Below are 26,853 nucleotides of genomic sequence, written 5' to 3'. Positions count from 1 at the left end.
CTTTGGGAAGCCGAGGTGAGCAGTTCACTTCAGGTCATGAGTTCGAAACCAGCCTGGCCAACATGGCAAAACCTCGTCTCTACTAAAAATACAAAAATTAGCCAGGTGTGGTGGCTCACGCCTGTAATCCCAGCTACTCAGGAGGCTGAGGCGAGAGAATTGCTTGAACCTGGGAGGCAGAGGTTGCAGTGAGCTGAGATCGCACCACTATACTCCAGCCTGGTTGACAGAATGAAACTCTGTCTCCAAATAAGTAAATAAATAAATTAGAATAATGACACCCATCAGAATGGTTAAAATGATATTACTGACAATACCAAGTGTTTAGCAATTAGAATTTTATGCACTGCTTGGTAAGAATATCAATTGGTACAGTCACTTGGCAGACGTGTTTGATAGTATCTACTAAAGCTGAAAATATAGGCCAGGCACAGTGGCTCATGCTTGTAATCCCAACAGTTTGGGAGGCCGGGCGAGAGGATTGCTTGAGCCCAGGAGTTCAAGCCCAGCCTGGGCAACATTGCAAGACCCCTGTTCCTTTTCTTTTTTTTTTTTTTTTTTAAAGGCCAACCGCGGTGGCTCACACCTGTAATCCCAGCACTTTTGGAGGCCGACTCCATCCTGGTCAATATAGTGAAACTTTGTCTCTAAAAAATATTTAAAAATTAACTGGGCATTGTGGCATGTGCTTGTGGTCCCAGCTACTTGAGGAGTTGAGGCAAGAGAATCACTTGAGCCCAGGAGGCTGAGGCTGCAGTGAGCCCTGTTGGCGCCACTGCACTCCAGCCTGGGCAACAAAGTGAGACCCTGTCTCTTGAAAAAATAAAAAAAAACTATTAGTCTGTGATCCAGCAATTCCAAGTGTATATCCAACAGAGATGCATACATATGTGCACTAAAAGACAGAAGGAACAACCTAAATATTAATCAGCAATAGAATGGATGCATGAGGCTGGGTGCGGTGGTTCACGCCTGTAATCCCAGCACTTTGGGAGGCTGAGGTGGGCGGATCACCTGAGGTCAGGGGTTCTAAACCAGCCTTGACAACGTGGTGAAATCCCATCTCTACTAAAATAATACAAAAATTAGCCAGGTGTAGTAGCACATGCCTATAGCCCCAGCTACTCGGGAGGCTGAGGCAGGAGAATCACTTGAACCTGGGTGGGGGAGGTTGCAGTGAGCCGAGTTTGCACCACTGCACTCCAGCGTTGGTAACAGAGTGAGACTCCGTCTTAAAAAACAAACAAACAAACAAAAAGAATGGCTACATGAATTATTTTATAATACTGCAACAAAATACTGTACTGTGTTGAAAATCAATGAAACTACTCCTGCACTTAAGAATATGGTTAAAATCTTACAAAAGTAGTGTTGCCAGACACAAAGGAGTACATACCGTATAATTCCATTTGCGTAAGTTTCAAAAATAGGCAAACTAATCTATGATTATAGAATTCAGCATGATGGTAATTTGGGAATAGTAGTGACTAGGAGAGGGCATACAGTGGGCTTTGACTTACTGTTAATGTTCTTTCTTCTCTCATTACATGAATTACTGAGAAAATAGTAGATTCTATTAATATTTAACAGTTAAAACACTTCCTTTTGTGTTGTCGTGTTTATTGAATAGACATTGCTTTTTAAACTTTGTTCTTTAAAAAATACAGTTTAGGCCGGGTGTGGTGGCTCACACCTGTAATCCCAGCACTTTGGGAGGCCAAGGTGGGTGGATCACCTGAGGTCAGAAGTTCGAGACCATCCTGGCCAACATGGTGAAACCCCGTCTGTATTTAAAAAAATACAAAAAAAAATTAGATGGGTGTAGTGGCTCGCGCCTGTAATCCCAGCTACTTGGGAGGCTGAGGCAGGAGAATCGCTTGAACCCAGGAGGTGGAGGTTGCAGTGAGCCGAGATCGCGCCACTGCACTCCAGCCTAGCAACAGAGTGAGACTCTGTCTCAAAAAAAAAAAAAAAAATTTAGTAGTAACTACTTTAAAAAAAAATGGATAATTTGCTTTGCTTTTTTTCTGGGTAAAATTTTTATTTTACTGAGGATAATTTTACCCTGTGAAAGGATTTGAGTTCTTCTAATAAAAGTACCATATAAATTCTAAATACCAATTATGATAATTACATAATGAACCTAATAACAGATAGAACCTATATTATTAACTGCTTCTGCATCAGTTTTGGCTTTAATATAATTATGTAAGTCTTCATTTTGAGGTTTTATTATATGTATATGAATTCTGCATTGCTCTGATTTTAGTAACTTTAAATATTAGGAGATTATACACAGGACTGAATTAAATTTTATTCTCTGCAAATCCTGACTCTATAAAACTTTTCCCTCATTTTCTAGAATCTAGCCAAAATAACCAAGGAAACCCATTACTGTGATTGGTGACATCATATTCATGGTTGTAGTGGTTCATATATCTTGCTTGTCCTGTTATTTTAATCAAACTAATGGAAATTCATATGTACATTTTTCACATCCTCCAATTACTTATGTTAAGAGACCTCGGAACCATTGGAGAAAAGGGAGTTGCCTCTATATGTAATGCCAGACCTATGGCCCCTGAAGGGCTTTCACTTTGCTATAGACATAGTTTTCTAAACATCCATAATATTATGGATGGATATTGTTTGAAGTTTCTCCCCTAAGAGTGAGCTTCAGTGGTTTAGGTATGTTTTCTTTTTGCTTTTTGTTGTGGAAGATTTCAAGCATGTAATTAAAGATAACAGTACAATGAATCTCCGTGTGCCCATCATCTTGTTTCAACAGTTATCTACGTGGCCAGTCCTCCTTCCCAACTACCACCATGCTGATTATTTATAATTTCATCCATAAATACTTTATCATGTATCTCTAAAAGATAATTTTGTTTTTCTTTGAGACAGGGCCTTGCTCTGTGGCCCAGGCTGGAGTGCAGTGGCCCGATCTTGGCTCACTGCAACCTCCGCCTCCTGGGCTCAGGTGATCCTCCCACCTCAGCCTCCTGAATAGTTGGGACTACAGGCAAGCGCCACCATGCCCAGCTATTTTTTAAAATTTTTTTAGTAGAAATGGGGTTTCGCCATGTTGCCCAGGCTGGTAGCCCACAATAGTTGTGCTTCAACCAGTATCTATTGGTTGAAGAAACCAGTTTGTTTATTGGCTAGAAATTATCACAGTCTAGGCCAGGCACAGTGGCTCATGCCTGTAATCCCAGCACTTTCGGAGGCTGAGGCGGGTGGATCGCTTAAGGCCAGGAGTTCGAGACCAGCCTGGCCAACATGGAAAAACCCCGTCTCTACCAAAAATACAAAAATTAGCCAGGTATGGTGGTGTGCGCCTGTAATCCCAGCTGCTTGGGAGTTTGCGGCACGAGAATCACTTGAACCTGGTAGGTGGATGTTGCAGTGAGACGAGATGGTGCCACTGCACTCCAGCCAGGGTGACAGAGCAAGACTGTCTCAAAAAAAAGAAATTTTTCAGTCTAGATTTTGCTGGTTCAGTTCCTTGGAGTTTTTCAACTTATTCTTTATTTAATGTAAATTGGTAGTTAGATCTAAAGGTACAGGTCCAATCAGATTTAGGCTTGATTTTTTTTTTATAAGAATATTTGTTAAGTGGTTTTATACCCCTCCATATTCTTAACATAAATATATCTCCTGTTAAACTGGGATTTTTTTTTTAAATAAAAGGGTTCCTTGCAATAGGACTTAGAAAAATTTATATTTATTTAAGCATATAGAAAAATTTATATTTATTTAAGCATATATGGAGTAAATTGACTTTCACAGCCAGTTCTATGGCCTGAATTATTGGGAGTAAAAATGTGCATTCATAATGACAATGCAAAATCATATATTTGCTTGAAATCACAGAAGACCTTGAATTTTCTGAAAATTGTGTTGATACTCATAGTTAATGGTTAACTCTTATGAGTTAGTCACATGGTAAACAATGACAAAGCATTAAATGAGCTGCTCTTCTGATTGTAGCAAGTTTAATGGCAATTTCCATTTTACTTTATTTACTTAAGTGTACTTATGAGGCAGGGCGTGGTAACTTACTCCTATAATCCCAGCACTTTAGGAGGAGGAGCAGGGAGGATTGCCTGAGCCTGGGAGGTCAAGGTTGTAGTGAGCTGTTACGCAACTGCACTCCAGCCTGGGGAACAGAGCGAAACCCTGTATGAAAAAATAAAATAGGCCAGGTGTGGTGGCTTGTGCGTGTAATCCCAGAACTTTGGGAGGCCAAGGCAGGTGGATTACCTGAGGTCAGGAGTTCAAGACCATCCTAGCCAACATGGTGAAACCCCATCTCTACTAAAAATACAAAATTAGCCCAGTGTGGTGGTGCATGCCTGTAATCCCAGCTACTTGGGAGGCTGAGGCAGGAGAACTGCTTGAACCCAGGAGACGGAAGTCGCAGTGAGCCGAGATCATACCACTGCACTCCAGCCTGGGTGACAGAAAGAGGCTCTGTCTCAAAAAAAAATAAAATAAAATAAAATAAATGGGCTGGGCATGGTGGCTCACTCCTATAATCCCAGCACTTTGGGAAGCTGAGATGGGAGGATTGTTTGAGCCCAGGAATGTGAGACCAGCCTGGACAACCCAGTGAAACCCCAAAACCCCATCTCTGCCAAAAAAAGATACAAAAATTAGCCAGGCCTCATGGCTCCTGTGGTCCTAGCTACTTGGGAGGCTGAGATGGGAGGATCATTTGAGCCCAGGAGGCGGAGGCTGCAGTGAGCTGAGATTGCACCACTGCACTCCAGCCTGGGTGACAGAGTGAGACCCTGTCCCTATTTAAAAAATGAGATGTGCACTTATGGCCTTTGGTATATGATCCTTAACTTGTCTACAAAGGTAATTTGAGCACAACCTAGACCTTTAAATTACAATATTACCATGCCCTTTAACAAATGTAATTCTATACTATTAGGTTATCTCATATCACTGGCAAGCTATATGTACAATTCCTTTTCTTTTTTCTTTTTAGCCAGGACTAAAAGAAGTGGTAGAATCCTGTCGAGGAAAAAATCTTTTTTTTTCTACCAATATTGATGATGCCATCAAAGAAGCTGATCTTGTATTTATTTCTGTAAGTATTTTCCTTTGTTGTGTGAATTTTAATGTATTCTTGTCTATATAAAAGTTTCATCATACTTTAATAGTAAATCCATTGGTATTAAGCCTCAACATTGCTTAGTATAGAGTTGTCCGGTGAATTTTGGTTGTCACTTTGTCTGACAGTTCACAAAACCCCGTAATCATCTAGTCAAATATGTCATTACAAGTCATTGAACAAGTAAACTCAAAGTTCTAATTTGAGATTTAGAACTAGGAAATGGGCGGGTGCGGTGGCTCACGCCTGTAATCCCAGCATTGTGGGAGGCCAAGGTGGGCAGATCACAAGGTCAAGAGATTGAGACCATCCTGGCCAACATGGTGAAACCCCGTCTCTACTAAGAATACAAAAATTAGCTGGGCGTGGTGGTGTGCACCCGCAGTCCCAGCTACTCAAGAGGCTGAGGCAGGAGAATCGCTTGAACCAAGGAGGCAGAGGTTGCAGTGAGCCGAGATCGCGCCACTGCACTCCAGCCTGGTGATAGAGTGAGACTCTGTCTCAAAAAAAAAAAAAAAAAAAAAAAAGAACTAGGAAATGCTGGTAACATGAGAGCACATGTGATGATAGTATATTTCATATTTATTTCATTATTTCTTGTTTCCAGTGGTTGGCAGAGGTGAGATGAAGAAAATCAGTTTGCAAACTTACAGGCATCTCCTCTCTAAATGAATTTTACATTAATTGTTTGTAACTTGGCATATGTTGGTTAGATTATCAGGCTAACCAACAGACACCTTTACCTCATAATGTGGCTGAACTGTCCTACCTTTATAATGAAAAAAACAGAACCAACACTTGAGATTAAACTCTAGTAAACCACTATTTGAACCAAAGCAACTTACATCTTGCTGTCCTAGTAACCATCTACTCAAATATTCTGTATGTAATGATATAGCTATCACCAGTTGGAAGCTGAGTGAGGGTGTTATATGACTTAAGATCTTTACGAGCTGGGCATGATGGCTCATGCTTGTAATCCCAGCACTTTGGGAGGCCAAGGCAGGCGGATCGCTTGAGCATAGGAATTTGAGACCAGCGTGGGCAACATGGTGAAACCCTGTCTCTACTTAGCTGGCCGTGGTGCTGTATGTCTGTAGTCCTGACTACTTGGGAGACTGAGGTGGGAGGATTGATTGAACCCTGGAGGTTGAGGCTGCAATGAGCCATTATTGTACCTTGCACTCCAGCCTAGGTGACAGAAGGAGACCCTGTCTCAAAAAAAAAAAAAAAAAAAAATTCAGTCTCTTCTTTTTGACCTCCTTAATCACTTCAGAGAAATTGATGCAGCTTTTATGACTTACCTACCCATCCCCTATTTAAACTTGCAGAAAGTTAGAGTGGAGGCATAAAAAAATAAGAAAATATTTTGGAGTAGCTAGGTACCTGGAAAAAATCAATGAGTTACTTAGTCTAATTTTTAGGTGACCAGAGCCTAGAATGGTAATAGAATAATTTTCTGCAGAAAGGACATTTAAAAATAATCTGTTTTTGAATGCCAGACAGGAATTATTTTGTAGCAATCAGTTTTCAACTGTTGTTTTCAAAGCTCCTTTACCAGGGGAAGCTGTCTGATCATCTCCCATCTCTAGCCAGTTTCACCCTACATCATGAGCTGTCTTTGCCTTTCCGTACACCATTACATGTAACTCTTGCCCTAAGTTGTTCCATGCATGTAAACAACTTTTTCCTCCTGCTTTTCACACCTCAACTCAATCTTCAAGTTTTGATTTATTTTCACTTGATTCCTTTATTTAGTCTCCCATTGGGTTATAATCTCATCAAGAGAAGAGAGTTAGTACTACTTACTATTAGTTCAAAAATAATTCCTATTCCCTTTAAGTTTTAGACTTTTCAGAGCACTTTCATTTTTGTCAGAGCATTATAACATTCATGTGTTAGTTTTTAGAGAGCTCACTATCCTCATTTTCCAATGAGGTCACTGAGGCAGAGGCAGCCACACTTCTCCAAGGTTACATGTAATCCAAAACTAAATGCCTAGACTCTGGGCCCATGATTTTTTTTTTTTTTTTCTAAATGAAAGTCTTCGCCCATTGGCCAGGTGCAGTGGCTCATGCCTGTAATCCTAGTACTTTGGGAGGCTGAGGCAGGCAGATCACTTGAGGTCAGGAGTTTGAGACCACCCTGGCCAACATGGTGAAACCCCGTCTAAAAATACAAAAATTAGGCGGGTGTGGTGGCGCACTTGTAATCCCAGCTACTCAGGAGGCTGAGGCAGGAGAATCGCTTGAACCCAGGAAGCAGAGATTGCAGTGATCCGAGATCGCGCCACTGCACTCCAGCCTGGGTGACAGAGCAAGGCTCCATCTTAAAAAAAAAAAAAAAAAGCAAGTCTTTGTCCACATAGTATTCTATATCCTGAAGATGATAGGTAATGTCTAGCTTTAATGAACTCAGAAAGCATTTGTAAATGATATTGCAATATTTTAAAAGACTGTTGATATAGGACTGTAAAAATAGGGGAATAAGAAAGGAGGCCAGGTGCGGTGGCTCACGCCTGTAATCCCAGCACTTTGGGATGCTGAGGTGGACAGATCACCTGAGGTCAGGAGTTCGAGACCAGCCTGGACAACATGATGAAACCCTGTCTCTACTAAAAATATAAAAAAAGTGGTGGGGTGTGGTGGCGCATGCCTGTAGTCCCAGTTACTTGGGAGGCTGAGGCAGGAGAATCGCTTGAACCTGGGAGGCAGAGGTTGCAGTGAGCCGAGATTACACTACTGCACTCTAGCCTGGGCAAAGAACAAGACTCCATCTCAAAAAAAAAAAAAAGACTTTAAAACTTATTTTTAAGGACTATAATAATATATTATGTACAATAAAGAAAGGGAATAAGAAAAGGCTTACATTTCATTTCAGATTGTGAAGTCCTTTAGGATAACCGTCTCATTCATTTATGTATCTTCAGGGCTTAGCTGGAATCTGCCTGCCCTAGTTATCCGGCATATAGATAGTAGCTTCCTAACAAAAATTTATTGAATGAGTTCTCTAGATGCTTCAAGCTATTTCTTCTGATTATTATATTTATAAAATGTATTATTTCTATGGAACTAACAGAGGATTAAATCAGGGCTACTGATGATTGTTAACTCCACACTTTAACCAGTAGTTCAGGGTATATCTTGAAATCCCTATCTCACAGGCACTCTGTTCTTTATCCCATATACTTACATCAGGTGAATACTCCAACAAAAACCTATGGAATGGGGAAAGGCCGGGCAGCAGATCTGAAGTATATTGAAGCTTGTGCTAGACGCATTGTGCAAAACTCAAATGGGTACAAAATTGTGACTGAGAAAAGCACAGTTCCAGTGCGGGCAGCAGAAAGTATCCGTCGCATATTTGATGCAAACACAAAACCCAACTTGAATTTACAGGTATAAAAAATGAAGCATTAGAATCTGGTTATTCTTATGTAAATACTGATGTGTTAAAGTTGCCCATAATTAATTCTAGCTTAAAACTTTCCTTTGCATTGGGATTCTAGGTGCTGTCCAACCCTGAGTTTCTGGCAGAGGGAACAGCCATCAAGGACCTAAAGAACCCAGACAGAGTACTGATTGGAGGGGATGAAACTCCAGAGGGCCAGAGAGCTGTGCAGGCCCTGTGTGCTGTATATGAGCACTGGGTTCCCAGAGAAAAGATCCTCACCACTAATACTTGGTCTTCAGAGCTTTCCAAACTGGTTAGTATATAGCATTCAACTCTTCATTAAATTAAAGCCAAATATTTATTTATTTCAAGCCTGATAAACTACACAGATACTTTTTTAATAGTAGTAAGAGGTTATGCTTTTGAAGATCATATTCTTGCACATTCAAATTATGAAATAATTTTCACAAGGGAGATCATATATGAGGGTATAAAAGATTCTGAAAAATTCTGAAATCTTAAAATAGTAATTTGGTTTTTATCACTCTTTCCCTCTTTACCCTTTTTCTTAATCATCTGTCCTCTCTAATTTAAAACATTTTCCCTTTCTAACCCATCCATTGTCTCCTCAAATTGAGCTCATCAGTATCTTATATATCTCCCTCAGTAATTTGCGTCAACGCAATGAAATATAAACTAGATGTATAAAATTGCTGTTTTAGCTTATCTTACTCTTCTCTATGTTTTTTTTTTTTAAGGCAGCAAATGCTTTTCTTGCCCAGAGAATAAGCAGCATTAACTCCATAAGTGCTCTGTGTGAAGCAACAGGAGCTGATGTAGAAGAGGTAGCAACAGCGATTGGAATGGACCAGAGAATTGGAAACAAGTTTCTAAAAGCCAGTGTTGGTAAATTCAAATTTTTCTCTAGTAGAAAGAGCTAGTGTTTATTTACTGAAGGCATATTATTTGCTGGTACCAGCGCTTTATATATCTCATTGAATCCTTATAACCTGTTAGGTAGATGCTGTTATTTTCTTTTTTAGAGATGATTCAGACTCAGGGAAATTTGTGCAACTTGCTCAAAGTCATGCAGCTGAGTGACTAGATGTTTCTAACGCCAAAGCCATATTATTCCTTACTGCATACTGCATTGCACTAGAGCAAGGGTGGGCAAACTATGGCCTTTGGGTCAAATCCAGCCCACAACTTGTTTTTGTAAATAAATTTTATTGGAACACAGCCATGACCATTAGACTACATATTGTCTATGGCTGCTTTTGAGCTACAGTGGCAGTTTAATAGTCTCCTCAGAAACTGAATGGTCCACAAAGGCTGAAATACTTACTGTCTGGCCCTTTACCATGAAAGTTTGCTGACCCAGGCCAGGCACAGTAGCTCATGCCTATAATCCCAGCACTTTGGGAGTCTGAGGCCAAGGCGGGCAAATTGCTTGAGCCTAGGAGTTTGAGACCAGCCTGGGCAGCATGGTGAAGCCCCAGCTCTGCAAAAAAAAAAGACAAAAAATTAGTCAGGCATGATGGTGCACACCTGTAGCTCCAGCTACCTGGGAGGCTAAGGTAGGAGGATCACCTGAGCCCAGGAGGTCAAGGCTGCAGTGAGCCATGTTCATACCCCTACACTTCAGCCTGGGCGACAGAGGGAGACTCTGTCTCAAAAAGAGAAAAAGTTTGCTGACCCTGTGCTAAAGAATGTGGGGCAGTCATACTAGATGAATGAGAAAAAAAAGGAGATAAAAGGAAACAATATAAAAAGTTAAACGTAGCCATAATGAAATTTTAGTTAGAAAATTATTTGGAAGTTACTTGTGGAGTTGTTTAGTTGCCTGCAAATTTTACATAATTTATAAGCCCATTATTTATCCATCTGAATTTTATTATTAAAAAATCTTAGTATAAGCTTTCTGATTTAGTATAAAGAAATTTGTCACATGATTGAGTTTTCTCGTTCTTACATGAAAATATTGTTCATTTTTTTCTTTCTGCAGGGTTTGGTGGGAGCTGTTTCCAAAAGGATGTTCTGAATTTGGTTTATCTCTGTGAGGCTCTGAATTTGCCAGAAGTAGCTCGTTATTGGCAGCAGGTATTAATCTCTATAGGTAATAATTTCTGTTTAGCCAGGCATAGTGGTTCACACCTGTAATCGCAGCACTTTAGGAAGCCAAGGCAAGAGCATCACTTGAGGCCAGGAATTTGGGACTGGCCTGGGCAACATAGTGAGACCCCATCTCTACAAAAATTTTAAAAATTAGCCAGGCATGGTGTTGCACACCTGTAGTCCTAGCTACTTGGGAGGCTGAGGTGGGAGGATCACTTGAGCCTAGGAGTTGGAGGCTCCAGTGACTGACTTATGATCGCTCCACTGCACTGTAGCCTGGACAACAGAGTGAGACCCTGTCTCTGACATAATAATAGTAACAGCAATAATAATAGCAGTTTCTGTTTAGCTTCTCATTAAGCATGTCACTTTTTGTCCATGAAATGTTTTTGATGGAATTTATTTATTCCAGGAAGTCAAAAATTAGTATATTCAATTTGCTTATTTTATGTTTATTTATTGGGTATCTGTGTTTTTAATTTATCTTTCCTGCTAATCAATGTTGATGGAAGTTTGTGATAAGCCAGTATTCTAATTTGCTCCCAGAGTAAAACAAAAACAATTATCCTTAATTATAACTCTTCTCTCTTTTTTTTTTTTTTTTTTTTGAGACAAGATCTCACTTTGTCACCCAGGCTAGAATGCAGTGGTGCCATCGCTGCTCACTGCAGTGACCTCCTGTGCTCAAGCAATCCTCCCACTTCAACCTCAACTTCAGGAACGCACCACCACATTGGCTAATTTTTTTATTTAAAAAATTTTGTTTGTAGAGACAAGGTCTCACTATATTGCCCAGGCTGGTCTGAAACTCCTGGGCTCAGCAGTCCTCCCATCTTTGCCTCCCAAAGTGCTGGGAATATAAGTGTTAGCCAGTGAACCTAGCCTAATTCTTCTCTATCTTGAAAGGCATAAAATCAAAATAAAATAAGAACCTATATTATAACGTTGGTCGGGCATGGTGGTTCACACCTGTAATCCCTGTACTTCGGGAGCCTGAGGTGGACAGATCACTTGAGGGTTGGGAGTTCGAGACTGGCCTGGCGAGGCTGAGGCATGAGAATTGCTTGAACCCAGGAGGCGGAGGTTGTAGTGAGCCAGGATTGTGTCACTGCACTCCAGCCTAGATGACAGAGCGAGACTTCGTCTCCAAAAAACAGAACCTATATTGTCATGCTTTCAAGTGGTTTTGTATCTGCTGATATTTGTTTTGGACCTTTCAGACTCACAGAGCTAAAATTAGAAACCCCTTCCAAATTGGAAGCATTAAGTGAGCTCTGGGAAGTAGAGTTGATGTTTATTGAATGCTTACCCTGTACTGGGTACTCTTTTGGGCACTTTGCATACAGTATCTCATTTAATCCTCATCACTAACATTATCCTCTTTATTTGATGAGGGAACTGACATGGAGATATTAAGTAATTTGCCCCAATTACTAGTCGGTATATGTGCCTTTCCCAAATATTTTCCCCGAGTTTATAATTTTTCAGGTTTCAGCAGTAGATATGGGAGGGAATCTAAAGAAATGCACGTTTCTTTTTTTAAAATGTTTTACTTTTTAGAGACAGGGTCTCACTGTGTTGTCCAGCCTAGATTCCAACTCTTGGGCTCAAGTGATCCTTCCACCTGAGCCTCCTGAGTAGCTGGGACTACAGGTGCACCACCCTGCCTAGCCGGAAATGCACATTTTAAAGTGAAAACAGATACAATTAGTGTCATTCCAGTCAATCCATCATGATGGCTTTATCTCACTGTTCATTGTGTGAAAAATGCAGATAAACTCTTGATTTTCCAACACTTTGGGCTAATTGCTTAAGCTCTCAGGGTTTGATTGAGATGGTCCCTGAAAGCTTAAAGCCTTAAAAAAGTTTCTTTTGCTTCGCCCACCCGGTTACCAACCTAAATTTAACAGATTAAGTGATCAGAGACTCTTATAACATTTAGTTAGTTAAAAAACCTTGTCAAATAGTTGTGGTGTTATGGTTCATCCAGAGGCAGCTAGAACTCTGCACATTGTTTGTTGCCTGTCCACTTTCCACTGAAACTGAATTTTTGTGAATAGTGGGGCACAAGCAAATGAAGGAATACTTTGGGGTTTCATTGCTTGTAGCTTGTTTCCACAGAATTTGGAGACACGGACTAAGGATAGTATGGTTTCCTATGTGCCTTATTTAGGTTGGTCTCATAGCTGAACCTCAAATGCGCTTAGAATTAAAACTTGGTTGTGCGCTCCACTTTTGGCATCCATCCTAGCCTTATGCATAGAAAATCAAGCCAAATGAAATTAGAAATTTTTAGAATGGCTTTTTTTTTTTTTTTAAATTTACGGCAGGGTCTGGCTCTGTCGCCCAGGCTGGAGTGCAGTGGCATGATCTCGGCTCACTGCCACCTCTGCCTCCTGTGCTCAAGCCATCCCACCTCAGCCTCCCAAGTAGCTGGGACTACAGGCACATGCCACCTTGCCTGGCTAATTTTTGTATTTTTTGTAGAGACAGGGTCTCGCCGTGGTGCCCAGGCTGGTCTTGAACTCCTGAGCTCAAGCAATCGCCCACCTCGGCCTCCCAAAGTGCTGGGATTACAGGTATGAGCTACCACTGCTGGCCTAGGATGGCTTTAAGGAAGGGGATGAGTGATTTTTTTTTTTTTTTAATCCATAGGCACTAGAGTTTGGTTAATTTTTGCCTCTTGTTAATATGTAAGCATTGTATTTGTACAATAGCACTCACCATAAAATTCTGAGTAATGTGTGTCATAGGCTGTGCCTCTTTTAACTAATCATTGCACAATTGTACATGTAATTTCAGGTCATAGACATGAATGACTACCAGAGGAGGAGGTTTGCTTCCCGGATCATAGATAGTCTGTTTAATACAGTAACTGATAAGAAGATAGCTATTTTGGGATTTGCATTCAAAAAGGACACTGGTGATACAAGGTATCAGTTTTTAAAAATATTTCAACCCTTTTGAGATTGTGTTAACTCCTCATCTTAATTTTTTGATTGGGGTAGGTGTACATAAAATACATGTATATATATAAAATATAAAGAATAAAAATAAATATCCATATCTTCACCACTCTACCAGCTTCAGAAATATAATTTTACCTGTATCTTAAACTCCCTGGTATTAGAATATAATGCCACATAAAGCTTACCAATACTGATTTTTTTTTTCCTATAGAGAATCTTCTAGTATATATATTAGCAAATATTTGATGGATGAAGGTGCACATCTACATATATATGATCCAAAAGTACCTAGGGAACAAATAGTTGTGGATCTTTCTCATCCAGGTGTTTCAGAGGATGACCAAGGTAAGGCTTTGAGTCTCATGAATCATTTTGAGTCCAGACCTGAAAACTTTTTATCTTTTGGAAACCTTAGGTTGTTCAGTTTTATCATGTATATCATTGGTAGGCCCTCTTTTCAACCTCATTTCTCTGAAATTAAAGTCTTAGGCATAATGTCATCAACATTGATTTGAAGTGATCAGCTGTGGATTGGTCCATTGATTTTTCCAACATACTCCACAAATCCCCAAAATTCCAAAGAGATGCTTCCAAAGCAGGGTTTGGGGCCTCCCACCATCACTCCCATTGATACTGCAATCAGATTATTCCCAACTCTTCCTGCAGTCCTAGTGTTAGAATACCTATAGTACTATCCCCTTATGTGTGGTTTTGCTTTCCACGGGTTCAGTTATCTGCGGTCACTTGCAGTCTGAAAGTACTAGAAGGAAAATTCCAGAAATAAACAATTCATAAGTTTTAAATTGTGTGCTGCTTCATCCTGCCTGGGACATTTATCATTCCTTTGTCCAGCATATCCACATTCCATATGCTACTTAGTCACTTAGTAACTTTTGGCAATCAGATTCAAAAAACAGGTATGTGTGTAAGTATATATAGGGTTCAGTACTCTCCACAGTTTCAGACATCTACTGGGGGTCTTGGAATGTATCCCTGCAGATAAGGGGGGAACTACTGTAATGTCATATAACTCCTTTCTTATTTCTGTTTTTTTGTTGTTGCTATTGTTACAGTGTCCCGGCTCGTGACCATTTCCAAGGATCCATATGAAGCATGTGATGGTGCCCATGCTGTTGTTATTTGCACTGAGTGGGACATGTTTAAGGTAAGGTAACAGAAAAGATACTAAGGAAAATTCTAGAGGTGTTCCACTATCAGCTGGGGTTGAGTATGTGTTCATGTATGTGTTTTTTTGTTTTTTTGTTTTTTTTTTTGAGATGGAGTCTCGCTCTGTCGCCCTGGCTGGAGTGCAGTGGCGCAATCTCGGCTCACTGCAAGCTCTGCCTCCTGGGTTCACGCCATTCTCCTGCCTCAGCTTCCTGAGTAGCTGGGACTACAAGCTCCTGCCACCACGCCCAACTAATTTTTTGTATTTTTAGTAGAGACGGGGTTTCACCATGTTGGCCAGGATGGTCTCGATCTCCTGACCTCGTGATCCACCCATCTTGGCCTCCCAAAGTGCTGGGATTACAGGCATGAGCCACTCCGCCCGGCCCACGTATGTGTTTTAATTGTTCCTGTGGTTTGTCTTTACAGGAATTGGATTATGAACGCATTCATAAAAAAATGCTAAAGCCAGCCTTTATCTTCGATGGACGGCGTGTCCTGGATGGGCTCCACAATGAACTACAAACCATTGGCTTCCAGGTAATCATGATCCTGGATTGTTTTTTTTCTTTTTGTTTGGTCTTTAGTGTTTGATTCAACAACTGGGGACTATAATCTAGTCAAGTTGACATCAAAAGACCATCACAGCAGGTCAGAATATGTTTGGCTAATTAAGATGATACCTTCTTTCTAGGGAAGTTCTTTTGGGGAACCAAATCAATATCAGAAGTTTATTTCAACAATTAGGAAAGTGCTCATTTGCTTTTTAAACCCATTGTGTGGGTTTTAGAATTTTCTTATTTTCTTTAGCAGTAACGTAACTCTGGGGCAACATGTCAGTTCTTTAGGAAGTCCCTATGGGATTTTTCTGACTACTCTACTTCTCTACTTCCTCCCTAAATTTGCGATCTAAAGGTAGAGAAAGAAAGAGGTCTTGGTCAATCAGCAGGTGTTCATCCTATACCTTCTGAGTACTCAGCACTGTGCCAGTGCTGTGAGGGGTCTGAATGAAACATATGGGAGTTTCAATGGTACTGGCCCTCTTCTGATTCAAAGTTTGTCAACTGGCCAGGCATAGTGGTTCACACCTGTAATCCCAGCACTTTGGGAGGCTGTGGAGGTAGACCACTTAAGGCCAGGAGTTCGAGACCAGCCTAGCCAACATGGTGAAACCCCGTGTCTATTAACAAATACAAAAATTGCTGGGCGCGGTGGCTCACGCCTATAATCCCAGCACTTTGGGAGGCTGAGGCGGGCGGATCACAAGGTCAGGAGTTCGAGACCAGCCTGGACAATACTGTAAAACCCCATCTCTACTAAAAATACAAAAATTAGCTGGGTGTGGTGGCACACACCTGTAATCCCAGCTACTTTGGAGGCTGAGGCAGGAGAATCGCTTAAACCTGGGAGGCGGAGGTTGCAGTGAGCCAAGATCACACCACTGCACTCCAGCCTGGGTGACAGAGCAAGACTCCGTTTTGGGAAAAAAAAATAATAAAAATTAGTCAGGCTTGGTGGCCTGTGCCTGTAATCCCAGCCACATGGGAGGCTGACGTGGGAGGATTGCTTGAGCCCAGCAGGCAGAGGTTGTAATGAGCTGAGATCATGCCATTGCATGCCAGCCTGGGTGACAGAGCAAGACCCTGCCTCAAAAAACAAAAAACAGTTTGTCAATTATGGAACATTTGGAAAGCTGACAGAAGCCTCCACCCAGAACAGTGTTTTTGTAGGTTACATCTATTTCAGTTCTCCAAGGAGTCCCAAAGGTATTAATAAGGAGCTATTTTCCATTTCCTCAGAGCAGTATGTATATGGGGATAGGAGGATGGGGAGGTGGAGTAAGTTAGGGAGAATAAAAAAATATGCCAGGGGGTTGTTGTCAATGTAGTGCCCAAGCAAGCAGAAAAGCAGCAGTGTTTGACAGCTTGCTATGCACATCTCAGCACCAGCTATCTTGGAGAGGTATCAGTAAGGCCTAATCTGCTATTCAAAAATATCTGATCTGGTTCTCTTAACCTCTCACCAACTTGTTGAAGGTCCTTATTTAGAATTCAGTGCCCATTTCTCATTCATGAGAGATTTACTTGTGGAAAGAATCAAATGGCATCCTTGTCTGTGAACTCTTCCATCCAAGACCTTGGGGACTCTTCTATTCCACCCCTCCCTAGTGAGTAACAACATGACTGTTTTTCCCAGTCATGACTAAACTCAGGAATGTTATTTTTAAAAGGTTATTTGCAAGGCATAGACACATTTTCTCTCATTCCTGTTTTACTCATCTAAGGGAAAAGATATGTAGAGAAATACATATTTTAAATGATTTTAAGTTATTGTAAAAGTTAACTTTCCTAGTGAGAAATTAAAAAAAAACAGGAATGGAATCACTAAATAAGGAGAATTTGTAAGTCACTGAGACAACTGGTTAATATAAAGCAGAAGCCCTTTCTTTGTGGTACGAGTCAGAATTAAATATTAGTTTTTAATTCAAAAGACATGAAAAGTGAGTAGTATGTTTATCTCTGCTGTGGAGGGGAGATAAATTCATGACTGTTGAAGTAGTAGTGTTTTTAATGATAAGATGATGATTTTGAATATATGGAATAAATGAAAAATGTAATAGGCAAAACCAAAATTGATTATCATTTAGTGAAGGCTGGCTTGCTGTATGCTAAGCACTTTACCTAATTTAATACTTACCACGACCCTTTGAGTTAAGTGGTGGTAACACAATTTACAAGTGAGGAAGAAAGACCTAGAGAGTTTAGGTAATGCAGCAAGTGCCAGTCAGGATTCCAGCTGGGGCCTTTCAGACTCTGAAGTCTGAATTCTTAAGAATTATGCTGGCCGGGTGCGGTGGCTCACGCCTGTAATCCCAGCACTTTGGGAGGCCGAGGCGGGCGGATCATGAGGTCAGGAGATCGAGACCATCCTGGCTAACACGGTGAAAACCCATCTCTACTAAAAATACAAAAAAATTGCCGGGCGTGGTGGCAGGCACCTGTGGTCCCAGCTGCTCGGGAGGCTGAGGCAGGAGAATGGTGTGAACCGGGAGGCAGAGCTTGCAGTGAGCCGAGATCACGCCACTGCACTCCAGCCTGGGCAACAGAGCGAGACTCCATCTCAAAAAAAAAAAAAAAATTTATGCTGTTGGCAGGGCACAGTGGCTCACGCCTGTAATACCAGCACTTTGGGAGGCCAAGGCGGATGGATCACGAAGTCAGGAGTTCGAGACCAGCTTGGCCAACATAGTGAAACCCCGTCTCTACTAAAAATACAAAAACATTAGCCTGGTGTGGTGGCGGGCGCTTGTAATCCTAGCTACTTGGGAGGCTGAGGCGAGGAGAATCGCTTGAACCTGCGAGGCAGAGGTTGCAGTGAGCCAAGATCGTGCCACTGCACTGCAGCCCAGGCAACAGGGCAAGACTCCATCTCAAAAAAAAAAAAAGCATTATGCTGTTACCATTCGGGCACAGTGGCTCACGCCGGTAATCCCAGCACTCTGGGAGGCCGAGGCAGGCAGATCACTTGAGGTCAGGAGTTCGAGACCAGCCTGGCCAGCATGTAAAACCTCATCTCTACTAAAAATACAAAAATTAGCCAGGTGTGGTGGTGCACGTCTGTAATCCCAGCTACTCAGAAGGCAGACAGGAGAATTGCTTGAACCTAGGAGACGGAGGTTGCAGTGAGCCAAGATCAGGCCACTGCACTCCAGCCTAGGCGATAGAGCAAGACTCCATCTCAAGAAAAAAAAAAAAAAAAAAGAGAATTATGCTGTTAGCTTTTGCAGGTTTTTTAGTACAAGGGAAATTGAAATGAGAATGGAGTTTGAAATAAAATATGAACTCACTGGAAACTGGTAGGTTAATTTCATACATGTTTCTAAAGACAGTGGTGGCACATAATTGACTACTTTGAGGGAGTCAGGTGTGGGGAATGGCAGGAGTGAGAAAGTCTAGATATGAATATTACGATGGAGTACAGATTAATTCTAGGAACAAAAAATAGGGAAGAAACCAAAGATCTCTCATAGCAACTCAGACAACTTGAGAATCCTTTTCTAAGAAAAAAATCTAGATTCCCCCTGCTCCCATTTCAGTACATTATAAATTCTTACACTTATATAATTGTTAATAGTTCTCTTAAATTTTATTTTTTTTTCAGATTGAAACAATTGGCAAAAAGGTGTCTTCAAAGAGAATTCCATATGCTCCTTCTGGTGAAATTCCGAAGTTTAGTCTTCAAGATCCACCTAACAAGAAACCTAAAGTGTAGAGATTGCCATTTTTATTTGTGATTTTTTTTTTTTTTTTTTGGTACTTCAGGATAGCAAATATCTATCTGCTATTAAATGGTAAATGAACCAAGTGTTTTTTTTTGTTTTTTTTTTGAGACAGAGTCTCACTGTTGCCCAGGCTGGAGTGCAGTGGTGCAATCTCGGCTCACTGCAAGCTCTGCTTCCCAGGTTCACGCCATTCTCCTGGCTCAGCCTCCCAAGTAGCTGGGACTACAGGCACCCGCCACAGTGCCTGGCTAATTTTTTGTATTTTTAGTAGAGACAGGGTTTCACCATGTGAGCCAGGATGGTCTCAATCTCCTGACCTTGTGAACCACCCGTCTCGGCCTCCCAAAGTGCTGGGATTACAGGTGTGAGCCACCACGCCTGGCCCATGAACCAAGTGTTTTTAAGGAAACAAAACTATTTTTTTAATCATCAGATTTATACTAGCTATATGGATATTAGCATATCTGGTAATTATGAATCTAGAATTTTTTTACATATTTTTATAATACTGTTAGCTCAGTTATTGGATGAGTGAAAGATAATCATGTTGGTTTTAATAGTGTCAATTTTTGTAAAATAAAAATTAAACTTCAAACTCTTTACTTTATAAATTGTCCATAGGCCACACTTTAATATCACATTATAAAGGGAAGGACAGTCTTCATTCCTCCTGGTTATTGGTTTGTTTGTCATTAAAGATATATTTTGAATCCATGAAATTGCTATGCTAAACAGCCTTTACATGTATGGTCTGGTTAAAGTTCCTTTGTTCCTTTTGTTTTAATAAAATGTGTCACTGATTTTTTAGCTCAAAATCATCACTGTTAATTTCCAGTCACCCCAAATATGGTTAAAAGATTTTTTTTTTAATCATGAAGAGAAAATTAGTAGCATTTCTTTCTCTCCCCATTATTTATTGGTTTTCCTCACTAATCTTTTTTTTTTTAGTCCAAAAGCCAAAAATATTTATCTTGGTTTTACATTTTAATTTCCATTCTTAATTGTAATTTTTTTCTTTAAATAAGGAAACCAATATAATCTCATGTATAAAAACTTAAATATTTTACAAGTTACATATAGCATCATTCTAAAATAAGAATTTTTTTTGTTTTCTGTCTGCTTTTTTCTTATGTCTCTTGTTGAGTTTTATATTTTCAGTGGTTATTTTTGCTTGTGTTAGATCATTATTAAAATATATCCAATGTCCCTTTGATACTTGTGCTCTGCTGAGAATGTACAGTTTGCATTAAACATCCCAGGTCTCATCCTTCAGGAATTTTGCAGTTCAATGAGAAGAGGGAGACAAATATAAAGATGAGGACAGAAGCATCTCTACAGATGAAAATTACATAAATAAAACATTCTCCATCAACAACTATATGGGTGTAATTTTTGTCAATTCACAAGTAACTGAGTCATGACAGCCTGACATTAGATGGGAAAAAAATGACACCTCACTTTTTAGAGAAAATGGTATATCATTCTCTCAAATGATGCAACAAAGGGAGAGAATTTAGCAAATAAACATTGGCAAACTGTAGCCCCTGGGTCAAATCTGGCCAGCCATGAGTGAGCTAAGAATGGTTGTTACATTTTTACATGGTCATATGTTAAATGGTTTGACCAGGCATGGTGGCTCATGCATGTAATCCCACCACTTTGGGAGGCCAAAGAGGGAGGATCACTTAAGGCCAGTTTGAGACCAGCCTGGGCAACTTACTGCCTAGGCAATAAGTAAGACCCCATTTCTACAAACAAACAAAGCACAAACATTTTAAATGGTTATACAAATCCCTACATAATATCCTCAACTTTACCTCTTGGCTGGCAAAGCCTAAAATATTTCCTACCTGGTCCTTTAAGAAAGTCTGCATACCTCTGAAAGAGACAAATGCTAGAGTTCGAACATAAGGTGAGCCTTTACTCATAAGACTTTGAAGTGAGGATGAGTTTATTAATTAGAATTTGCTTTACATTTCTGCTTGAAAATATTATTGTATTCTGCTTAGTAATTTTATATTCTAGTAAAGGCATTGTAAGTCCAAAGATGTATGAAGATGTATGCTAAAGCAGATAGAATTAGGCACTTGTCCTGTCCAAATGAGGAATTTTTAAATTTTTAAATGGTTTTTTTTTCTATTTTTAGACATCTAATGCTATAGATTCAAACTTTTTCTACTCTTGTCTAGATATGCCAAATGCTGGCAAAAAATTGCTTTTGTTGTTGTTGTTGTTCTTTTTTTTTGAGACAGAGTCTTGTTTTATTGGCCAGGCTGGAGTGCAGTGGCACCATCTCGGCTCACTGCAACCTCTGCCTCCTGGGGTTCAAGCCACTGTGCCCAGCCTAAGAATTGCTATTTGGATGTTGCCGAATTTGTAAAAACACAGCAATAAGCAAAATCCTTTTGAACAAAGAAGTCCTGAGTTCATCTCATTGGTGGACTGAAGCAATTCTGTAGCAAATAAATCCTTTGAAAGAGCTCCAAAAAGAAGAAAAAAAGAAATAGGTACTTGTGCCGGGTGCAGTGGCTCATGCTTGTACTTTGGGAGGCTGAGGTGGGGGATCACCTGAGGTTAGGAGTTCGAGACCAGCCTGGCCAACATGGTGAAACCCCGTCTCTACTAAAAATACAAAAAAACTAGCCAGGCGTAGTGGCACGCGCCTGTAATCCCAGCTACTCAGGAGGCTGAGGCAGGAGAATCACTTGAACCTGGGAGCAGAGGTTGCAGTGAGCCAAGATGGCGCCATTGCACTCCAGCCTGGGCAACAAGAGCGAAACTGTCTCAGAAAAAAAAGAAAAGAAAAGAAAAGAAAGAAATAGGTACTTGTTTTAAATTGCAAGATGTTTCAATGCCTGGAACTGATAAGTAAACAATTATTGTAAGATATAATTACTGGCCGGGTGTGGTGGCTCATGCCTGTAATCCCGGCACTTTGAGAGGTCAAGGTGGGTGGATGCTTGAGCTCAGGAGTTCAAGACCAGCCTGGGCAACATGGCGAAACCTCGTCTCTAAAAAAATACAAAAAATTAGCCATGAGTGGTGGTGCATGCCAGTAGTCCAAGCTAACTGGGAGGCTGAGGTGGGAAGATCACTTGAGCCCAGGATGTCAAGGCTGCAGTGAGCCGAGATTGTACCACTGCACTCTAGTCTGGATGACAGAGTGAGACCCTGTCTCAAAAAAAAAAGAAAAAAGTTACTGGTAAATGGAGGAAAATGGGCAAAAGAGGGCTCATAGAGCCAGATAAACTTGCTGTTTGAAATGGGAGGAAAAACTCAGTAATTAGGCATGTAACTTAACAGCAATTTGAGACTTTCATGTGAAAAGTTGAAAGAAGGTGGTTAGTCTTTTTTTCTCTCCTCAACCAGTTAAAGACAATTGTTGTTTTTTTTAATCATACAAACTTTCAGTTTTTAAAAATATATATATTTAAATTTTTATACCTGATCCCTACCACCAGGAAAAGTTTCAATTTTTTATTAGCTAATATATTTTTGGTAGGGCAGAGGAATATTGGTAAGATTACTAACTGTACTTAAAATTGAAAATAATAGGCCGGGCGCTGTGGCTCACGCCTGTAATCCCAGCACTTTGGGAGGCCGAGGTGGGTGGATCACCTGAGGTCAAGAGTTCGAGACCAGCCTGACCAACATGGAGAAACCTCGTCTCTACTATAAATACAAAATTAGCCGGGTGTAGTGGTGCATGCCTGTAATCCCAGCTACTCAGGGGGCTGAGACAGGAGAATCGCTTGAACCCGGGAGGTGGAGATTACGGTGAGCCGAGATCATGCCATTGCACTCCGACCTGGGCAACAAGAGTGAAACTCCTTCTCAAAAAAAAAAAAAAAAAAAATTGAAAATAATATATGGACATGGTAAAAAGACATTCACATAGATACAAAAGGATAAACAAAATCTCTCTCCTACAATTTTCTCTCCTACAATTCCACTTAAGACTTCTTGGCTAAGCTACCTGAAAGCCTTATTTTTCCCATCTGTAAAACAGATAATCCATCTCCAACTCGAAGAATTGTTATAAAGATTACATGAGATGAATGTTTACACAAAGATCTTCTTGGCACAGTGACTGGCAGGCAATGAGCACTCCTGTTAGCACCATAACAAGCTGGTCCCACTGCACCAGAACCACGTGTAGGCTCTGGAATCACTAGAAGGACAGTAATTAACACTGAACATTTTGGACAGGCACTATGCAAAGTCCTTTAGGTGCATTTTCTCATCTGTTCCTCACATAAGTCTTTATTTCATTTCATTTTTTACTTCCCCATGTTATTCTAGGACTCATTTAAGTCTTTTGAGGTAAGTTCTGATCCTGTGATTCAGACTACAGGCAGAAGGCTCGGAAGATTTAGCAGCTTGCTCAGGGTCACACCTTAATAAGTGGCAGAACCAGAATTCAGGACAGACTATGTGACTTTTCTCTCCAGCTTTTAATATTAGTCATTCTGCTTCTCTGGATACATAAAGGTGCCCAGGTAAAAGTCATTCTTCTCAAATGCAAAGAATTAACCAGGCATCAGGCCAATACTTGTCATGCAGACTTAAGCCAATACTTTGTTATGCAGTACTTGTCACTGGTGCCTTATCTTCCTATTTCTCAAGAAAAAGCTAAAAATCTGGATTTGGTGGTGTGGTGTTTTTTGTTTTTTGAGACGGAATCTCTGTTGCCCAGGCTGGAGTGCAGTGGTGCAATCTTGGCTCACTGCAACCTTCACCTCGCAGGTTCAAGCTATTCTCCTGCTTCAGCCTCCTGAGTAGCTGAGATTACAGGCACCCACCACCATGCCCGACTAATTTTTGTAAAAATCTGGATTTTTATATAAAATCTCTCAATTTATAAGTGTTGGCACGATGTTTAAAAACAAATTTTTACACTACACACACCAAAATATCTGTGAAGGGTAGATCTAGATCAAAGGTTGCTAGTTTTTAAAAAAAGAAAACCCTAAATTCTGACATAATTTTAGATTTACAGAAAAGTTGAAAGAATGGTACAAAAATGCTGTATACCCTTCTTATTCACTAAATATTAATATTATATTTGCTTTGTTTTATCCTTCCTGTATACATCACACATAAAATTTATATTTATATAAATTTTTTTCCTGAATGATTTGAGATTAAGTTGCAAGGCCAGGTGCGGTGGCTCATCCCTGTAATCCCAGCACTTTAGGAGGCTAAGGTCAGGAGTTTGAGACCAACCTGGACAACATGGTAAAACCTCATCTTTACTAAAAATACAAAAAATTAGCCGGGCATGGTTGTGCGCACCTGTAGTCCCAGCTACTTGGGAAACTGAGGCAGGAGAATCATTCAAACCCGGGAGGCAGAGGTTGCAGTGAGCTGAGATTGTGCCACTGCATTCTAGCCTGGGTGACAGAGCAAGACTCTGTCTCAATAAAAAAAAAAAAAAAAAAAAAAAAAGAGAGTAAGTTGGAGACATGATTCCCTTTTCCCCTAAATACTTCAGGGTTATCTCAGTTTCTGTGGGTCAGGAATTCAGGAACAGTTTAGCCAAATGGTTCTGGGTCAAAGTCTGGTTGTAATCAAAATGTCAACCAGGGCTTTGGTCATCAAAAGGCTTGACTGGGGCTGGAAGATTGTCTTCCAAGATGGCTTGCTCATATGACTATCAAGTTAGTGCTGGCGGTTGACAGGAGGCCTCAGTTCTTTGCCAACTGGATCTCCTCATAGCACTGCTTGAATATCCTCATGACACAGCATAGCAAGTTGGCATCTTCAAGAGTGAAAAAACCAATAGAGGACAAGACAGAACCTCCAATGTCTTTTATTATCTAGCCTCAGAAATCATACCCCATCATTTCTATAATATCCTATTGTTTAACCAGATAGCTCTATTCACTGTCTGAAGAGACATGGATATCAGGAGGTGATAATCACTGGGAGCCATCTTGGAGGTTGGCTATTGGAGTTTTATTTCCCAAAAAATAAGGAAATAGGGCAGGTGCAGTGGCTAACACCTGTAATCCCAGCACTTTGGGAAGTCAAGGCAGGAAGATTGCTTAAGCAATCTGGCAAAACCCCATCTCTACCAAAAATACAAAAATTAGCCAGGTGTGGTGGTGCATGCCTGTGGTCCCAACTATTTGGGAGGCTGAGATGGGAGGATTGTTTGAGGTGGAGGTTGCAGTGAGCTGAGATCTCACCACTGTACTCCAGCCTGGGCGACAGAGTGAAACTGTGTCTAAAAAACAAAACAGGCCAGGAGCCGTGGCTCATGCCTGTAATCCCAGCACTTTGGGAGGCCAAGGTGGGTGGATCACCTGAGGTCAGGAGAGTTCGAGATCAGCCTGGCCAACATGGTGAAACCCCATCTCTACTACAAATACAAAAATTAGCTGGGCGTGGTGGCTGGCACCTGTAATCACAGCTACTCAGGAGGCTGAGGCAAGAGAATTGCTTGAACCCGGGGGCTGAGGCTGCAGTGAGCAGAGATTGTGCCACTGCACTCCAGCCTGGGTGACAGAGCGAGACTCTATCTCAAAAACAAAACAAAACAAAACAAACAAACAAAAAGATTGTTACTCCTTTAAACTTTCATCCACTAGTTTTAGCATCTACTAATGATTCCTGTCTGAATCAATTATTATAACAATGGTAGCTTCCAGTTTTTGATCAAGTTTGAATCTTGCTTTTACCACTTAGTAGAAATGGGACCTTGGCCCAGATAAGTCAACTTTCTTAAGTCAATTTCTTCATATATAAAGCAAGGATAATACAGTACACTTCAGAAGGCTGTTTGTGAGGATTACATTAGATAAGAGTGTAAAACACTTGGCACAGGGCGTGGTACACAGGAAACACTCCAGAAATGTTAGGGGGACTTTGTTGGTTGCCCATCCAGAGGATCCATTCCCCTTTCTTCCTTCCTAACAGAGCCCCAGTGTTCAGATGTTCATCCCCACCTGCTTACCTCACCTTCAGATCCAAGGATGGTCCGTCTTACTTTTGTTTAACAAATTTCCCTTGCCAATGATTTTTCTTGCCAATGATTGCTTCAGAAACAACCTTGTGACCAATGCTGGCGATTGAGAATTGAGGGGTAGTTTGTTAGTAAGGCTCCTGGGACACATTCCTGAAACAGCTACAAGGAAAGTTGCCCTCTCTTCTCCTTCTGGATGTTGTGGCTGGATATGATCCCTGGATAACAGGTATTTGGTTGTGACAGCCACAGCCACCATCCTACCAGACTGGGGTGAAGCCAACACCAAAGATGGCAGAGATAATAGAAGGAAAAACCTAGATCCTCGATTACTTTGTTGAGTCCCTGAATCAATGAACCTTGAAGACTACTTCCTGTTTGGTGACATAAATGTCCTCCTTAATGACACGATTGAATAGGACATTTCTTATTTGAAGCTGAAAATACCCTACTTTTAGAGGTATTGTATTATCATCATTATTAAGAAGAACGGCCAGTCACAGTGGCTCACGCCTATAATCCCAGCACTTTGGGAGGCCGAGGCAGGGGGATCACCTGAGGTCGGGAGTTCGAGAACAGCCTGGCCTACATGGTGAAATCCCATCTCTACTAAAAATACAAAAATTATCTGGGCATAGTAGTGGGCACCTGTAATCCCAGCTACTTGGGAGGCTGAGGCAGGAAAATCACTTGAACTCGGGAGGCAGAGGTTGCAGTGAGCCGATATTGCGCCATTGCACTCCAGCCTGGGCAGCAAGTGCGAAACTCAATCTTGAAACAAAAGCAAAAACAAAAATTAGCTGGGCATGGTGGCGGGCGCCTGTAATCCCAGCTACTT

The 26,853-nt window shown here is 40.8% G+C and overlaps 1 protein-coding gene across 4 annotated transcripts in view, besides 6 other annotated features; it reads left to right on the top strand.

Annotated features, from left to right (window-relative positions):
• Positions 1-20,426, top strand: part of UGDH (UDP-glucose 6-dehydrogenase) — a 28,685-nt gene extending 8,259 nt beyond the window's left edge. For 3 of the 4 annotated variants that reach the window (NM_001184701.2, NM_003359.4, XM_005262667.4), the window contains 10 exons: positions 4,997-5,098; positions 8,320-8,520; positions 8,631-8,828; positions 9,274-9,421; positions 10,521-10,615; positions 13,433-13,563; positions 13,811-13,944; positions 14,673-14,764; positions 15,196-15,306; positions 18,928-20,426. In NM_001184701.2, coding sequence (NP_001171630.1) covers positions 8,347-8,520; positions 8,631-8,828; positions 9,274-9,421; positions 10,521-10,615; positions 13,433-13,563; positions 13,811-13,944; positions 14,673-14,764; positions 15,196-15,306; positions 18,928-19,038 — 1,194 coding nt within the window. In that variant the 5' untranslated portion in view covers positions 4,997-5,098; positions 8,320-8,346 and the 3' untranslated portion in view covers positions 19,039-20,426. The remainder of the gene's footprint in view (positions 1-4,996; positions 5,099-8,319; positions 8,521-8,630; positions 8,829-9,273; positions 9,422-10,520; positions 10,616-13,432; positions 13,564-13,810; positions 13,945-14,672; positions 14,765-15,195; positions 15,307-18,927) is intronic. The other variant, NM_001184700.2, reaches the window with a different exon arrangement.
• Positions 3,847-3,991: an enhancer, noted in NCBI's record as "145 bp enhancer 6 fragment used in the MPRA reporter construct; PK_construct_287". NCBI's record gives its function as "activates an SV40 promoter by MPRA in HepG2 cells {active_cell/tissue: HepG2}" and the evidence as "EXISTENCE:reporter gene assay evidence [ECO:0000049][PMID:23512712]".
• Positions 3,847-4,172: a biological region, named in NCBI's record as "HNF1 and NFE2L2 motif-containing MPRA enhancers 6 and 8".
• Positions 3,878-4,172: an enhancer, noted in NCBI's record as "tiled region #12492; HepG2 Activating DNase unmatched - State 5:Enh". NCBI's record gives its function as "activates a minimal TATA promoter and a strong SV40 promoter by Sharpr-MPRA in HepG2 cells {active_cell/tissue: HepG2}" and the evidence as "EXISTENCE:reporter gene assay evidence [ECO:0000049][PMID:27701403]".
• Positions 3,886-4,030: an enhancer, noted in NCBI's record as "145 bp enhancer 8 fragment used in the MPRA reporter construct; PK_construct_3306". NCBI's record gives its function as "activates an SV40 promoter by MPRA in HepG2 cells {active_cell/tissue: HepG2}" and the evidence as "EXISTENCE:reporter gene assay evidence [ECO:0000049][PMID:23512712]".
• Positions 3,912-3,925: a transcriptional cis regulatory region, noted in NCBI's record as "NF1 motif; MPRA enhancer 6 activity is reduced when this motif is scrambled". NCBI's record gives its function as "necessary for full MPRA enhancer 6 activity {active_cell/tissue: HepG2}" and the evidence as "EXISTENCE:site-directed mutagenesis evidence [ECO:0005528][PMID:23512712]".
• Positions 3,953-3,963: a transcriptional cis regulatory region, noted in NCBI's record as "NFE2L2 motif; MPRA enhancer 8 activity is reduced when this motif is scrambled". NCBI's record gives its function as "necessary for full MPRA enhancer 8 activity {active_cell/tissue: HepG2}" and the evidence as "EXISTENCE:site-directed mutagenesis evidence [ECO:0005528][PMID:23512712]".
• Positions 20,427-26,853: the final 6,427 nt, after the last annotated feature.

Source organism: Homo sapiens, chromosome 4, assembly GCF_000001405.40.
Source record: "Homo sapiens chromosome 4, GRCh38.p14 Primary Assembly".
NCBI classification, from domain to species: Eukaryota; Metazoa; Chordata; class Mammalia; order Primates; family Hominidae; genus Homo; species Homo sapiens.
Note: the sequence above shows the minus strand (reverse complement) of the source record. Positions and strands in the feature narration are given on the sequence as shown.